The sequence below is a fragment of the Homo sapiens genome, chromosome 7 (assembly GCF_000001405.40).
Source record: "Homo sapiens chromosome 7, GRCh38.p14 Primary Assembly".
Classification (NCBI taxonomy): Eukaryota; Metazoa; Chordata; class Mammalia; order Primates; family Hominidae; genus Homo; species Homo sapiens.
Genome location: NC_000007.14, coordinates 99,457,863 through 99,472,863, shown reverse-complemented (window position 1 = coordinate 99,472,863; position 15,001 = coordinate 99,457,863). Strand labels below are relative to the sequence as shown.

Below are 15,001 nucleotides of genomic sequence, written 5' to 3'. Positions count from 1 at the left end.
GCGTCCCAGCCAGCGGCCCCTCTAGGACCGCGGAGGCTTCACGACTCTCTTGTCAGACAAAGAGAGTGGCGCCCGCGCGAGTGGGCCCGAACCAATCAACGGCCGCCCTCCCCGCCCAGGCCAATCAACGGCCGGAGACAGCACCGAGAGAGTCACGTGATGGACAGGGCCCCGCCCCTCCTGTTTAATCGTAACATAATTTAGAATTATTCTATGATTCAAGAGCGACACAATTCGTTTCTTTGGCTGTGTGTTTGTGGAGGGGAGTAAGGTTATCAGATAAAAGAAGAAAAATGGGCCAGGCGCGGTGGCTTACGCCTGTAATCCCAGCACTTTGGGAGGCAGAGGCCGGCGGATCAGGTCAAGAGATTTAGATCATCCTGGCCAACATGGTGAAACCCCTTCTCTACTAAAAATACAAAAAAATTGCCGGGCGCGGTGGCTCACGCCTGTAATCCCAGCACTCTGGGAGGCCGAGGCGGGTGGATCACCTGAGGTCGGGAGTTCGATACCAGCCTGACCAACAATGGAGAAACCCGTCTCTACTAAAAATACAAATAAAATTAGCCGGGCATGGTGGTGCCTGCCTGTAACCCCGGCTACTCGGGAGGCTGAGGCAGGAGAAGCGCTTGAACCCGGGAGGCGGAGGTTGCGGTGAGCCGAGATTGCGCCACCGCACTCCAGCCTGGGTGACAGAGCGAGACTCCGTCTCAAAAAAAAAAAAAAAAAAAAAAAAATTAGCTGGGCATGGTGGCGGCGTGCCTGTAGTGCCAGCTACTCGGGAGGCTGAGGCAGGAGAATCACTTGAACTCGGGAGGCGGAGCTTGCAGTGAGCCGAGATCCCACCACTGCACTCCAGACTGGCGACAGAGCGAGACTCTGTCTCAAAAAAAAAAAAAAGAATATTAGATCTTAATTAAAAGGATAATTGTGTGGCTTATGTAAATTACCCCCAAAATACAGTTTTAATGTGAGTAAGGGGTTAATTTTTTTTCTTTTTTTTTTGAGACAGTCTCGCTCTCGCCCAGGCTGGAGTGCAGTGGCGCGATCTCGGCTCACTGCAAGCTCCGCCTCCCGGGTTCACGCCATTCTCCTGCGTCAGCCTCCTGAGTAGCTGGGACTACAGGCGCCCGCTACCACTCCCGGCTAATTTTTTTTGTGTGTGTGTTTTTAGTAGAGACGGGGTTTCACCATTTTGGCCAGGCTGGTCTCGAACTCCTGACCTCAAGTGATCCGCCTGCCTTGGCCTCCCAAGTTTTGTTTGTTTTTTATTTCTTCTAAACAAAACAAAACAAACAGGATACACGTGCAGAACGTGCAGGTTTGTTACATGTGCCATGGTGGTTTGCTGCACCTATTGACCCATCCTCTAAGTTCCCTCCCCTTACCCCCGACTCCCCAAAAGGCCCAGGTGTGTGTTGTTCCCCTCTCTGTGTCCATGCGTTCTCAATATTCAATTCCCACTTATGAATGAGAACATGCTGTGTTTGGTTTTCTGTTCCTGTGTTAGTTTGCTGAGGCTGATGGCCACCAGCTTCATCCATGTCCCTGCAAAGGACAGGATCTCATTCCTTTTTGTGGCTGCTTAGTATTCCATGGTGTATTTGTACCACATTTTCTTTATCCAGTCTACCACTGATGGGCATTTGGGTTGGTTCCATGTCTTTGCTATTGTAAATAGTGTTGCAATAAACATATGTGTGTTGGCTGAGTGCAGTGGCTCACGCCTGCAATTCCAGCACTTTGGGAGGTCAAGGCAGGCAGATTACCTGAGATCAGGAGTTCGAGACCAGCCTGGCCAACATGGTGAAACCCCGTCACTACTAAAAATACAAAAATTAGCCGGGCTCGGTGGCAGGAGTATGTAATCCCAGCTACTCGGGAGGCTGAGGCAGGAGAATCGCTTGAACCCAGGAGGCGGAGGTGGCAGGGAGCCGAGATTGTGCCATTGTACTCCAGCCTGGGTGACAGAGTGAGACTCTGTCTCATAAATAAATAAATAAAATAAAATAAAAAATAAAAGAGATGGGGTCTTGCTATGTTGCCCAGGCTGGTCTCAAACTCCTGGGCTCAAACGATCCTCCCATCTCGACCTCCCAAAGTTCTGGGATTACAGGCATGAGCCATCGCACCTGGCTCCTGTTGGCTTTAACAGAAAACAGGAACACTCAGTACTCCAGGTTCAAGACATTTGAACATAGGGAAGGCAGTGAGGTCAGGCCTGGCCACCCCTAGGGAGAGGACAAGGAACTCAGTCCAGCAGGTCGTTCCAGGAATACGAATGTGGGGAGGGAGCCGGATGACACGTCAGGCCAGCGCAGTCCCATAGGAGCGGCTCGGGGAAGACAACTGACTTCCTCCTCATTTGTTTTGAATAACGCTTTGTGCTAGTGGTGCTGGAACTTCAAATGCTGGAGATCAGGCTGCACCACCAATGCTTCTCCAAGGATAGCAGCCCCCAGGGTGGGCAGGTAGTTTTTGGATTGGGAAGGCAACTATTTCCCGAGCTCTGAACCGTTTTATTTATTTTTTCATTTAGAGACAGTGTCTCACCTTGTCACCCAGGTTGGAGTGTAGTGGCACAATGATAGCTCACTGCAGCCTCGACCTGCGCTCAAGGGATCATCCCGCCTCAGCCTCCTAAGCAGCAGCTGGTACTACAGGTATGCACCACTACACCTGGCATTTTTGCTTTTGCTTTTATCGTTGTTTTTTGTTTGTTTGTTTGTTTATTTTTTTATTTTTATTTTTTTTTTGAGAGACGGTTTTGATACGTTGCCCAGGCTGGTCTTGAACTCCTGGGCTCAAGCAATCTGCCCGCCTCAGCCTCCCAAAGTGCTCCTGCACTGTTTTAAGGTCCTGTCTGAAGTCCTGTGAATGTACTGTCTGAGGCACAGTCCTGATAAATCCTGCTACAGATGTGAACAGCACGACCTAAGTATTGGTTCTGAATTTTTCCTCACACTTTAGCTAAGGTGCCGGTCCACTGCTGAAGTACCTACGCAAATAAATCTTTAGGGCTAAAGAACAGAAAATACAGTGTCCAAGGTTGAGAGTTACCGGCAAGCTATAACTCCTGTTGGCTAAAGAAAGGGATGATCACATGTTTGACCCCGACGTGATTTGAACACGCAACCTTCTGATCTGGAGTCAGACGCGCTGCCGTTGCGCCACGAGGTCTTGGAAACCTAACTTTTTTGTGCTTTAGATGGACCCTAAAGAGTTCTTTTTCCCTTTTGTAATTCAGAGGGAAGTGTAAAAGTAAACGAAACAGGATAGAAGCAGACGCCACCACGGGGTTCGGGAATAATCCTCTTGTCATTCGGGAAAATTCACCTGCCTCGGGCTGTGTAGTCTCCTAAGGAGACACGTTTGGGAAGCCACAGTGGAAAATGTTTCACGCAGCTTAGCAGAGAAGGCTGGGGCGGGGTTGTCAGGGATCCGGATTCTCTTCTCCCCAGCCCTCTGCTTGGGGAGCACTAAGAATTTGCACGAGGGCCAGATCAACGAAAGAGTACTATGTTCAAGCTGGGGGCGGTGGCTCACGCCTGTAATCCCAGCAGTTTGGGTGGCCGAGGCTAGGCGGATCACCTGAGGCCAGGAGTTCGATACCAGCCTGGCCAACATGGTGAATCCCCGTCTCTACTAAAAATATAAAAATTAGCCGGGCGTGGTGGCGGGTGCCAGTAATCCCAACTACTCGGGAGGCTGAGGCAGAATCGCTTCAACTCGGGAGGCGGAGGTACAGGGAGCCGAGATCGCGCCATTGCACTCCAGCCTGGGCGACAGAGCGGGACTCCGTCTCTTACCAAAAAAAAAAAAATTATCTTTGGAATAATCTGCTCCCTCCAACCCACCCCCACCTTCCCCGAAACAACCCCAGTTCATTAACTAAAACGTTGGCATTTATACATATACAAATCACAGCTCCTGCGCCCTCAGTCCTTCCATCCACCCCAGGGGATCGGGCATTGGCGTAGCTTCCCTCCGGCCTCTTCCCGGGGCCTCCCTGGATTCCAGTGTGCGGATCCTGGGCTCCGGCGGCTCTGCGTCCCCGCGAGTGTCCGGCCTGGGGAAGGGGCGGGGGCGCGGGTGCCACTGGCCACTCCTGCCTTTTGCTGCTCTCCTGCACGTCCCACGGAACAGCGGCCCCCTCAGCTTCCCCTGCCCCAGCCCTCAAGTCCATCAGCTCCCGGAGGCTGCCTCTGCCCGGACACAGTGCAGTCGGGTCTCTTCGGTCCCTCGTAGTCTTCCAGGTCCCATACTCGCACCCTGCAGGAGGATTCCCTGGGTGGACCAGGAAGGTCCCCAGGCCGATTCCTGCCCCACGGAGGACCTGACACCTGGGGTCCGGCAGACCCCATCCCTGATCCTTCCTGCGGGGCCCTCTGCCCCAGCCCTGGCATCTGCCCCAGCCCTGGGGAGTGGGAGTTACATAGGCCCTGGTGCAATGGGCAGGGTTTTTCCTGGGGGTTCAGTTGCTTAGGGACGCAGCCCAAGGCGGGTAATAAACTCCTAAGACTACATTATACCCGCATTATACCGTGGATGGTCAACACACACCGCAAGGAGCAAGTGAAATAAACTTTGAAGACAGAGAGTTCAAGGGTGCAAGGAACCGTTGAGAACACTCCTACCGCAGTACACTACTATATTTGCTGGGGTTGGTTGGTTTGTTTGGAGACAAGTTCTCACTCCATCACCCAGGCTGCAGTGCAGTGGCCCCATCTCTGCTCACTGCAACCTCCGCCTCCCAGGTTCAAGCAATTCTCCCGCCTCAGCCTCTGGAGTAGCTGGAATGACAGGCGCATATCACCACGCTTGGCTACTTTTTGTATTTTTAGCAGAGATGAGGTTTTGCCATGTTGAGGAGGCTGATCTCGAACTCCTGATCTCAGGTGATCCGCGCACCTTGGCCTCCCAAAGTGCTGGGATTACAGGCGTGAACCACCGCGACCAGCCTGGTTTTTTTTTGTTTGTTTGTTTTTTGTTTTTTTTGAGACAGAGTCTTGCTCTGCCGCCCAGGCTGGAGTGCAGTGGCTTGACCTCCGCTCGCTGCAACCTCCACTTCCCAGGTTCAAGTGATTCTCCTGCCTCAGCCTCCCAAGTAGCTGGAATTGCAGGCACCTGCCACCGCGCTCAGCTAATTTTTTTCGTATTTTCACCATGTTGGCCCGGCTGGTTTTGAACACCTGACCTCAAGTGATCCGCCCACCTCTGCCTCCCAAAGTGCTAGGATTACAGGCGTGAACCACCGCACCTGGCCTGTTTGTTTTGTTTTGTTTTTTTAACCATTTTTAATTCCCACTGGCGATGCTGGCCGTGCTTTCACACACCTATAATTGTATATGCGATTTTCACTGCCTGGGGAGAAGGGAAGCAGACATGGAGGAGCCCCACAATGCCACCTCTGAAACAAGAAATGTAGCAGAATGAACTGAACGAGGGTGGCATTTATTTGGCAAGTTATGACTACAAGACCTGCTCTCGAGGTTGTTTTAAAAATCGGAGGCCCGGCGCGGTGGCTCACGCCTGTAATCCTAGAACTTTGGGAGGCCGAAGCGGGTGGATCACGAGGTCAGGAGATTGAGACCATCCTGGCTAACATGTTGAAACCCCGTCTCTACTAAAAATACAAAAAAATACAAAAAATTAGCCAGGCGTGGTGGTGGGCGCCTGTAGTCCCAGCTACTCGGGAGGCTGAGGCAGGAGAATGGAGTGAACCCCGGAGGTGGAGCTGGCAGTGAGCCGAGATCGCGCCACTGCACTCTAGCCTGGGTGACAGAGCGAGACTCTGTCTCTAAATAAATAAATAAATTAATTAAAATAATCAAAATTGAAGTAGCCCGGGCAGTGTGGTTCATGCCGGCAGTTCCAGTATTTTGGGAGGCCGAGGTAGGAGGAACGCTCGAGGCCAAGAGTTTAAGAGCAGTCTAGGCAACATAGGGAGACGCCTTCTCTACAAAATATAATTAGCTGGGCGTGGTGGCGTGCACCTGTAGTCCCAGCTACTTCGGAGGTGGAGGAAGAACGCTTGAGGCCAGGAGTTCAAGACCAGCCTGAGCAAAATAGAGAGCCTCTACCCCCACTCCTCACCACACTGTTTCCACCAAAAAAAAAAAAAAAAAAAAAAAAAAAAAAAAAAAGCTGGAAGTGGTGATGTGAGCCTGTAGTCCTAGCTACTTGGGAGGCTGAGATGGGTGGATCGCTTGACTCCGGGAGTTCAAGGCTGCAGTCAGCCGTGATCAAGCCACTGTCTGAAAAGTAAATGCTCGTCTGAAAAGTAAAAAATAAAAATAAAAATAGACTGGGCGCGGTGGCTCACGCCGGTAACCCCAGAACTTTGGGAGGCCGAGGCGGGGGGATCACGTGAGGAAAGGAGTTCAAGGCCAGCCTGGCCAACATGGTGAAACCCTGTCTCTACTAAAAATACAAAAATTAGCTTGCTGTGCTGGTGCACGCTTGTAGTCCCAGCGCGGCCTCTTCCCACCTTTTAAGGTAGAGAGCCCAGGCTGAGGCGCCCCTCTCTCTAACTGCAGGACCCTCGGATTTTTGCTGTCCAGGCACCTCGCCCTTCGCTTCATGGCCTTCTAGTAGTTCCAGGGTGTTCGCAGTTGTGACCTGCTTCCCGTGAGCCTCTGCTCTACGCCCCTGGATGGGGCGTGCATTCCCTACCCAGCAGCCCTCGCGCGGTCCGGCACAGCGGACACCAGGACTCCAAAATGGCGTCAGTTGGTGAGTGTCCGGCCCCAGGTAAGGCTGTTTGGACTCCGTGGTGGAAGCAGGAGCCAGGGTCCAGGGTCCAGAGCCACACTGGGAGAGAAGGAAGCTGCGGAGCTGCCTGCCCTTTGCTCAGGCACTTCGCCACGACCTCACTTGAGGCGCGCCAGACCCCGCTCCGCCTGCCCAGGCGCGCCTTCCTGCTGCCCAGGGCCTGCGCCAACCGGGTTAGGCGTGGAGGGTGAAGGCATCTGGGGCACGCGCTTCTGGGCCTGGGAATGCGCCGCCTTGGGCCACTGTTCCTCTTTCCGCTAAGAAATAGCCGCTTCCCTCTCCCGCTGCGACCCAGTTGCTTTGCACTTGAATGTTAGGCGCAGCTTTTGCCCTTTTTTCCCAAGGCTTAAGCTCAGATGAAGCTCCAGGAGGAGCTCAGGACTAGGACTGTACCTGATACCATGTAAGGTTCGATGCATATATGTTGAATCAGAGAGGCGAGGTGACCTGTTCAAGGTCACAACTCGTGCGAGGGCTGAGCTGGTATTCAAACCTGAGGATTCGTGGTAAATGAACTTTATTCTCTAGGACGGCCTTATGACTAGCAGGCTTTTCCGAGACACCCATGTGTAAATCGCTACATTCATCCCGCTGTGCACACTGATGATTTTTGTTTGTTTGTTTTTGAATAGTTAGCCCTAGATGCTCCATAGTAGCCTTGTCAGAGAGTCCTTGTTGGGAAAGTCGATTCCATTTTACAGATGAGGGAAATAACTGTTCGGGATGTGGTGTGGCCTCTCTGAGGTCACACAGCCTGATAGTGGCAGAGTTTTGATTAACACATGTGTGTCTTAGCTCAGTTTCTGGTTTTTTTTTATCATTTTTTTTTTGAGATGGCGTTTCGCTCTTGTCGCCCAGGGTGGAGTGCAATGGTGTGATCTCGGCTCACTGTAACCTTTGCCTCCTGGGTTCAAGCGATTCTCCAGCCTCAGCCTCCGAGTAGCTGGGATTACAGGCGCAGGCCACCATGCCCAGCTAATTTTTGTATTTTTAGTAGAGACGGGCTTTCACCACGTTGGCCAGGCTAGTCTTGAACCCCTGACCTCAGGTGATCCATGTACCTCGGCCTCCCAAAGTGCTGGGACTACAGGTGTGAGCCACTGCGTTTCTGTATTCTTTTTTTTTGACATGGAGTCTCACGCTGTCGCCCAGGCTAGAGTGCAGTAGCTGATCTCGTCTCTGCAACCTCTGCCTCCCAGGTTCAAATGATTCTGCTGCCTCAGCCTCCCAAGTATCTGGGATTACAGGCACACACCAGTACCTACGCCCGGCTAATTTTTTTTTGTATTTTTAGTAGAGATGGGTTTCGCCACGTTGACCAGGCTGGTCTCAAACTCTTGACCTCAAGTGAGTCACCTGCTTCGACCTCCCAAAGTGTTGAGATTACCAGCGTGAGCCACTGCGCCTGACCTCTGGTTTGTTTTTTTGAGATGGAGTCTCGCTCTGTCGCCCAGGCTGGAGTGCAGTGGCGCGATCTCAGCTCACTGCAAGCTCTGCCTCCCGGGTTCACGCCATTCTCCTGCCTCAGCCTCCTGAGTAGCTGGGACTACAGGCGCCCGCCACCCCGCCCAGCTAATTTTTTGTATTTTTAGTAGAGACAGGGTTTCACTGTGTTAGCCAGGATGGTCTCGATCTCCTGACCTTGTGATCTGCCCACCTCAGCCTCCCAAAGTGCTGGGATTACAGGTGTGAGCCACTGCGCCCGGCCTCCGGCCTCTGTATTCTTAATCTCAGCCTAGAGAAATGAAGAGGGGTTCAGAATAGATGAGAGGGAAGCTGTTTTCCCCTCAGTAAAATGGGCATAATAGCATTCGTCGTACACGGTAGTTGTGTTAAGGAGACAACCTGTGAAAAGTGAACACTGGGGCATTTTGTTTAAGCATAGGGCTGTGGTCAAGAGCTCTGAACTAAGGATCAATCGATTTAGCATGTGAAAGACACTTGGAACGCTGCGTGGCCCACAGTGAGTACTCAGTCGGTGTGAGCTGGTCATCCCAGCCTTTACTTTGTGACCTTTAGGCAGGGTCATGTCACATGCCTGGCCTATTCAGCATCACCCCCGGTGAAGAAATTGGAGTCCATGTCTCTTAGGTATTGATGATCTTTTAGGTAGTGTCTGTCACCAGAGGACAAAGACAGTATTTCATGAGCACATAAAGTGAGGGAAATATGAATTAGCAGCAGTAGATAAGATCGCGGTTGGCAAACTATGGCCAGTGAGTTGGATTTCGTGTGGCCTGTTTTTGTCTGGCCATGAGCTCAGAATGGTTTTTTTGTTTTTATATTTTATTTTTATTTATTTATTTATTTTTTGAGATGGAGTCTTGCTTTTGTCGCCCAGGCTGCAGTGCAATAGCACGATCTCAGCTCAGTGCAACCTCCACCTCCCAGGTTCAAGTGATTCTCCTGCCTCAGCCTCCCAAGTAGCTGGAATTGCAGGTGCCCGCCACCACACCCGGCTAATTTTTGTATTTTTAGTAGAGATGGGGTTTCGCCATTTTGGTCAGGCTGGTCTCAGACTCCTGAGCTCGTGATCCTCCTGCCTTGGCCTCCCAGAGTGCTGGGATTACAGACGTGAGCCACTGTACAGGGCCTAGAATGGTTTTTTGTTTTTATTTTATTTATTATAGAGATGGGGTCTCAAACTCCTGGCCTCAAGCAGTCCTCCCATCTCGGCCAAAGTGTTGGGATTACTGGCGTGAGCCACTGCATTGGGTCATTTTCTGTTTTTAAAAAGATTGTTTAAAAATAAAATAGACTATGCTATGAAGACCTTATGTGGCCTGCAAATCCAAAAATCTTTATTCTCTGGACAACCCCCAGGTTGGATTTAGCACTCAGGAGAGACTTGCTATTTCCATGTGGCTTCATAGTAATGAACAGTATGTTTCCTCTCGAGGATCTGTGGTTCTACAACCATTACTGAGAATCTGTCGTGTACCAAGAAGTGGTGGGGATATTCGCACCTTCAGGTAGCTCATAACCAGGCAGAAAGGTGGTAATAGTTCTCATTTACATAGTACCTAGGGCCAAGTACCAAGGATTTCACAAAGGAGGAAACTGAGAAGGAGTAGTACCTTGCCCAAGGGCACACACCTACAAAATGGCATTAAACCCAGAATGGCACTAGACCCAAGGGTCTGCTCTGTCTCTGAACTCTACTGGGTCTCTTTATGTGACCCAGTGATTGCAGATGGAAGCTTCAGTGCTGCAGAGGAGCGGGTGTGTGTAGAGTTGGGGTGGGAGTTCCAATAGGGCAACCAAGGACTGAGGCCTTCCTTTGCCTTCCAGTGAAAGAGAAATTCGTGGAATAAGTATAGATGCATCTTGGATGAACTGGATAGTCCCTTGCAGTGGCACGATCTTGGCTCACTGCAACCTCTACCTCCCAGGTTTAAGCGATTCTCCTGTCTCAGCCTCCCGAGTAGCGGGGACTACAGGCACACGCCACCATGCCCAGCTAATTTTTGTATTTTTAGTAGAGATGAGGTTTCACTATGTTGGCCAGGCTGGTCTTGAACTCCTGACCTCGTGATCTGCCTGCCTTGGCCTCCCACAGTGCTGGGATTACAGGCGTGAGCCACCGTGCCCTGCCAAATGTGTTAGGTTTTTGTTTGTTTTTGACACGGATTCTTGCTCTGTCACCCAGGCTGGAGTGTAGTGGCACAATCTCAGCTCACTGCAAGCTCCGCCTCCCAGGTTCACGCCATTCTCCTGCCTCAGCCTCCCTAGTAGCTAGGACTACAGGCGCCCGCCACCACACCTGGCTAATTTTTTTTTTTTTTTTTTTTTTTTTTTTTTAGTAGTGATGGGGTTTCACCATGTTAGCCAGGATGGTCTCGATTTCCTGACCTCAGGATCTTCCCGCCTCAGCTTCCCAAAGTGCTGGGATTACAGGCGTGAGCCACCGTGCCCGGCCCCTGATGTGTTGGTTTTAAGGAAACACCCTTGTCTTCATAATACAGAGATAGAACTAGGAAGAAAAACAAGTTGTAAATTGTTGCCTTTTTTCTCCTGTGATGTGCCAGGCTCCATGCCAGCCCCTGAACATGGTAATGAGATGCAGAATATGTCTGCATAGTTTATGTGAATGTGAAAAAATGGCTTCACTGGATCAGGAAGTGAGTTTTCTGGCCTGGTGCGGTGGCTCATGCCTGTAATCCCAGCACTTTGGGGGGCCGAGGTGGGCAGATCGCCTGAGGTCAGGAGTTCGAGACCAGCCTGGCCAACATGGTGAAACCCTGTCTCTACTAAAAATACAAAAATTAGCTGGGTGTCGTGGCGCATGCCTGTAGTCCCAGCTACTCAGGAGGCTGAGGCAGGAGAATCGCTAGAACCAGGAGGTGGAGGTTGCAGTGAGCCGAGATCATGCCACTGCACTCCAGCCTGGGCAGGTGCAGTGGCGTGATCTCATGGTGCAGTTTCACCATGTTGGCCAGGCTGGTCTCAAACTCCTGACCTCAAGTGATCTGCCTGCCTCGACCTCCCAAAGTGCTGGGATTATAGTGTGAACTACTGTGCCCTGGCCTCCCTCAGCAGACTCTTGAGGCTGGTCCTGACAGAGCCTTAGTCTTTCCTTTGATCTCAAAATGGAGAAGAAACCTTGGGATTATTTAATCTGGCTCCTCTTGTGGTTATCTTTGAGAAGGCACCGTGGTCCTAGACTCTTTGCCCTCAATAGGACATCTGCTAAAAGCTTTTTAAAACTTATCATTAGCTGGGTGTGGTGGCACACACCTGTAGTCCCAGCTGTTCAGGAGGTTGAGGCAGGAGGATCACTTGAGTCCAGGAGGCTCAGTGAGGCTGCAGTGAGCTGTGACCACACCTGTGAATAACCAGTGCACTCCAGCCTGGGTAATGGAGTGAGACCCTGTCTCTCAGAAATAAATAAATAAATCTTTGCAGGGAGAACAGGGGAGACGATTCCTTTCTTAAATGCATCTCCTTGACGCCCACAGGCCCACCCACTCCCTGGCCCTCCATAGTCTCCTCCTGGGCCCAAATGTGAGGACAGTACAGCCTCAGCCAGGAGCCCTTCTGATTCCTTGTTCTCAGACTCCCATTGGAATACGATCTGGGGCCGTTCAGTCATTTGGAGTGGTTTTTCGTCACTTGACTTCTCGGAATGTGTTATCTCTTATTTTTATCTCTGGAAATTGTTGGTGTCCGTGGTCCCAGGATGCTGGAGGTGGAAATTCCTTGGGTTTCTTTCATTATACTTGCTCGGGCTGGCCCATCTGGTGAGTCTGCCAGCTGTGTGAACCCAGGTGCTGTTTGAAGCCCTTCCCCAGTAAACAAGTGCGTCAAGTCTGAGTGAGACACTTGGCACCGTCACACCGCTCTCCTTCCACATCCCCTCTTGTACGTTCTCCAGCGACACATCCCCAGGGTTGGACAGGGCACCCTCATATTGGCTTCAGGGACATAGGAGGGCCAGTCCTGACCCCACGTTGTGTGTGTGACTTTGGTCACGTGGCCCAACCTCTCTGAGTCTATCCCCCCTCCCCTCCTTTAAGGTAAAGACATGAAGTGCTTGTTGTGAAGATTAAATAAGCTAATAATGTCAAGTAAATGTTAGCTTTGCAGTAATCTTTCCTGTCCGCCACGTTACTGCTTTTTTCGAGACCCTTTTCTGGAGTTACTCCCAGCAAGCTGTTACTCAGACGTCCTGTTGGTTAATAAAGCTGTCCCTGCAGCAGTTCTGCTATTGTATAGACTCAGTCTTAAAATAGTGGGCTTGATGTGACATATTTCTTCATAATATTGTGTATGTGCAGCCTCTGTGTAATTGCATTATGCACCTTTATTGCATAGTTGAAGCAGTGGCAGGAAAGGATGCCATATGTGTTACTGGGAGATTATTCAGTGGGTATTTTTTCTCACTCTTCCGTTTCAGTACCAGTGAAGGACAAGAAACTTCTGGAGGTCAAACTGGGGGAGCTGCCAAGCTGGATCTTGATGCGGGACTTCAGTCCTAGTGGCATTTTCGGAGCGTTTCAAAGAGGTCAGAGCCTTGTGGATGTCTGTAAATGAAAGCAAATCTCTGGGTCTTCAGATCTCTTTTTTGCCATGAATTAATTTGGGCAATGAAGGCCTTGTTGTCTGAAAGCAGTAAGTTATGTAGAGGATGACAGGGAGGGATGCTAGGCCTTGGACTTCTGTGGTTGATTGGCCCTTTCAAAGGCTGGCTCTGAGATATTACAGCCAAGAACATGTTTCCTGTTGCTTGGAATCAGTATGTCTGCCTCTGTCTTAGAGAAATCCTAAGACTTCTTTAAGAGGAAAATGAATTGGAACCGTAGTGGGCATTAGTCTATAATATGATGCTCTCCTCCCTGCCAGAACTTCAGGACAAATATTTGAAATGGCCTATCTTGGCCTGGTGTGGTGGCTTATGCCTGTAATCCCGGCACTTCGGGAGGCCAAGGCTGGAGGATTGCTTGAGCCGAGTTTAGACCAGCCTAGGCAATATGGAGAGACCCCATCTCTATAAAAAAAACCACACAAGAAAAATTAGCTGGCTGTGGTGGTGCATGCCTGTAGTCCCAGCTACTCAGGAGGCTATAAGCTCACAGCCAAAGGGGAGAGGTGGAATCCAGGTAGGCCTAGTTCAGGAGCTGGTATGTGCTTATAGTTCAGGCTATGGGGATGAGAGACCTTACTGGCATTTGTGCTTGTCATCTTTATCAGCCAGTGAATGCAGGGCGAGGGGCTTAAACAGCCAGAGCAGGACTAGGTCCCTGAATGTCAGCCAGACTCAACTGTGTGCTCAACTTCACTCAAATGTGAAGCCCAGCAGGGCAGTGAGCGCCTCTTGCGTTTGCAGGTTACTACCGGTACTACAACAAGTACATCAATGTGAAGAAGGGGAGCATCTCGGGGATTACCATGGTGCTGGCATGCTACGTGCTCTTTAGCTACTCCTTTTCCTACAAGCATCTCAGTGAGTGCCTCTGCGGCGTCTTGCCTTTAGTTCCCATGAGAGGGTGGTGGTGACTGATTTCATTAGATACAGCAGCCCACCTTCTTCTGAGGCTGAGGGACCTTTAGTTAAAGTTCCTTATGTTTCCACCTAAAAGAATTGGAGGGACCTATCAGAGTACAGTATGTGGGATATTGTTTGAAATGAGAAAATTGTGACAAAGAGAACACAGGAAAATCAAGATGAAGCCAGGGTAAAGAGAGTACTTAGAAGCATTCTTTAAAATACAGCACACTGTGAAAATTTGGCTCGATTTTCCTAGTAGCCAATGCAGAAAGAGAAATGAGTTGAGTGGGATAATCTGGTACCCCAGAAAAGCATGGCTGTTCCGGCTCTGAGGCTTGAGAGGAGCTTGTCTGGTGGGAGATTGGCGGGAGGTGTCGGTGGCAGCCTCTGACTAGGCTGTTTCTGACAGTGTAGTGTACACCCCCTACCCCCACCTCACTCCCATTCTGTGGCACCAGGGCGGTCCTGCCTCTGAAGGACGGGTTCTCTGGGGCTGTTTGTCTGAGCGTGTGTTCCCTCTGTTCCTTCTGGAAAGAAAGTGGTTGGCCAGGTGGCAGGTTGGCTCCTGAGGTGTCTTTGTGCCCCCCGGGTCTGCTGATTCTGCAGAGACACCGGCAGGCGGGTCATGGGTCATCTCTGAAGGGAATTCTCAGGAAGGCTTTGTGTGATCTCAGCCTGCTTCCTGCCATGCTGTGCCTTCACTGTAACCTTTTAAGATACTTACCATCTTGCCTTCCTGACTTCAGAGCACGAGCGGCTCCGCAAATACCACTGAAGAGGACACACTCTGCACCCCCCCACCCCACGACCTTGGCCCGAGCCCCTCCGTGAGGAACACAATCTCAATCGTTGCTGAATCCTTTCATATCCTAATAGGAATTAACCTCCAAATAAAACATGACTGGTACGTGTGCTGATTGCCTGCCTGTCTGCCGTAGCCATTATCCCATGTTCCAGGGGCTCCTGTGGCACAAGGTGGGGGGAGGTCGTCTTTCCAGGCCGTTGACCGGTGAAGGCCTTTGTGGACTTCCCAGACCACCACTCTGGTCGTGTCCCAGCTCCCTGGAGGGCAGGGTGTCATCCAGACCTTCCCGAAGCAGCAGTGCCGAAGTCCGTCCCTTGCCATGAGTGCTGTGGGCAGGTGCATTTGCAGACATTCTGGCCTTTAGTTGGCTGGCCCTTTATGGTGTAACACAAAGGCTTGCGTACCTGAGAGCGCCAGATCCCACCCCGGCTGTC

General features: G+C 51.0%; 2 protein-coding genes and 1 non-coding gene across 6 annotated transcripts in view, besides 6 other annotated features; 2 read left to right on the top strand and 1 right to left on the bottom strand.

Moving 5' to 3' along the window:
- Positions 265-354: an enhancer, noted in NCBI's record as "active region_26318". NCBI's record gives its function as "activates an Ori minimal core promoter by ATAC-STARR-seq in GM12878 lymphoblastoid cells {active_cell/tissue: GM12878}" and the evidence as "EXISTENCE:reporter gene assay evidence [ECO:0000049][PMID:35858748]".
- Positions 575-734: an enhancer, noted in NCBI's record as "active region_26317". NCBI's record gives its function as "activates an Ori minimal core promoter by ATAC-STARR-seq in GM12878 lymphoblastoid cells {active_cell/tissue: GM12878}" and the evidence as "EXISTENCE:reporter gene assay evidence [ECO:0000049][PMID:35858748]".
- Positions 3,109-3,180, bottom strand: TRW-CCA5-1 (tRNA-Trp (anticodon CCA) 5-1). The gene has a single exon. It is a non-coding gene; the product is annotated as a tRNA-Trp (tRNA).
- Positions 6,295-6,910: an enhancer, noted in NCBI's record as "NANOG-H3K27ac-H3K4me1 hESC enhancer chr7:99063577-99064192 (GRCh37/hg19 assembly coordinates)". NCBI's record gives its function as "activates a minimal SCP1, AML or CMV promoter by ChIP-STARR-seq in naive H9 embryonic stem cells {active_cell/tissue: H9 hESC(naive)}" and the evidence as "EXISTENCE:reporter gene assay evidence [ECO:0000049][PMID:30033119]".
- Positions 6,509-6,628: an enhancer, noted in NCBI's record as "active region_26316". NCBI's record gives its function as "activates an Ori minimal core promoter by ATAC-STARR-seq in GM12878 lymphoblastoid cells {active_cell/tissue: GM12878}" and the evidence as "EXISTENCE:reporter gene assay evidence [ECO:0000049][PMID:35858748]".
- On the top strand, positions 6,697-14,669 carry ATP5MF (ATP synthase membrane subunit f). Of its 4 annotated transcripts, none has more exons than NM_001003713.4 (4): positions 6,697-6,735; positions 12,671-12,778; positions 13,601-13,717; positions 14,509-14,669. In NM_001003713.4, the coding sequence occupies exons 1-4, from the start codon at positions 6,723-6,725 to the stop codon at positions 14,535-14,537; spliced, it is 267 nt and encodes an 88-aa protein (NP_001003713.1). In that variant the 5' UTR covers positions 6,697-6,722; the 3' UTR covers positions 14,538-14,669. The 4 variants fall into 4 exon arrangements, with proteins under 4 accessions (NP_001003713.1, NP_004880.1, NP_001034267.1 ...); NM_004889.5 differs by having other exon boundaries at positions 6,697-6,753; NM_001039178.4 differs by lacking the exon at positions 13,601-13,717.
- Positions 6,697-15,001, top strand: part of ATP5MF-PTCD1 (ATP5MF-PTCD1 readthrough) — a 49,429-nt gene continuing 41,124 nt past the window's right edge. The window contains exons 1-2 of the mRNA NM_001198879.2: positions 6,697-6,735; positions 12,671-12,778. Of these exons, the coding sequence (NP_001185808.1) occupies positions 6,723-6,735; positions 12,671-12,778 (121 nt within the window). The 5' untranslated portion in view covers positions 6,697-6,722. The remainder of the gene's footprint in view (positions 6,736-12,670; positions 12,779-15,001) is intronic.
- Positions 6,911-7,528: an enhancer, noted in NCBI's record as "NANOG-H3K27ac-H3K4me1 hESC enhancer chr7:99062959-99063576 (GRCh37/hg19 assembly coordinates)". NCBI's record gives its function as "activates a minimal SCP1, AML or CMV promoter by ChIP-STARR-seq in primed H9 embryonic stem cells {active_cell/tissue: H9 hESC(primed)}" and the evidence as "EXISTENCE:reporter gene assay evidence [ECO:0000049][PMID:30033119]".
- Positions 11,039-11,539: an enhancer, noted in NCBI's record as "H3K4me1 hESC enhancer chr7:99058948-99059448 (GRCh37/hg19 assembly coordinates)". NCBI's record gives its function as "activates a minimal SCP1, AML or CMV promoter by ChIP-STARR-seq in primed H9 embryonic stem cells {active_cell/tissue: H9 hESC(primed)}" and the evidence as "EXISTENCE:reporter gene assay evidence [ECO:0000049][PMID:30033119]".

Excerpts from the sequence above, each read along its gene's own strand:
- ATP5MF (NM_004889.5), top strand. The coding sequence starts at position 6,723 with ATGGCGTCAGTTGGTGAGTGTCCGGCCCCAG. Across the intron at positions 6,754-12,670 it reads TGGTGAGTGTCCGGCCCCAG|TACCAGTGAAGGACAAGAAA; the intron begins GTAAGGCTGTTT and ends CTTCCGTTTCAG. Across the intron at positions 12,779-13,600 it reads TTTCGGAGCGTTTCAAAGAG|GTTACTACCGGTACTACAAC; the intron begins GTCAGAGCCTTG and ends TTGCGTTTGCAG.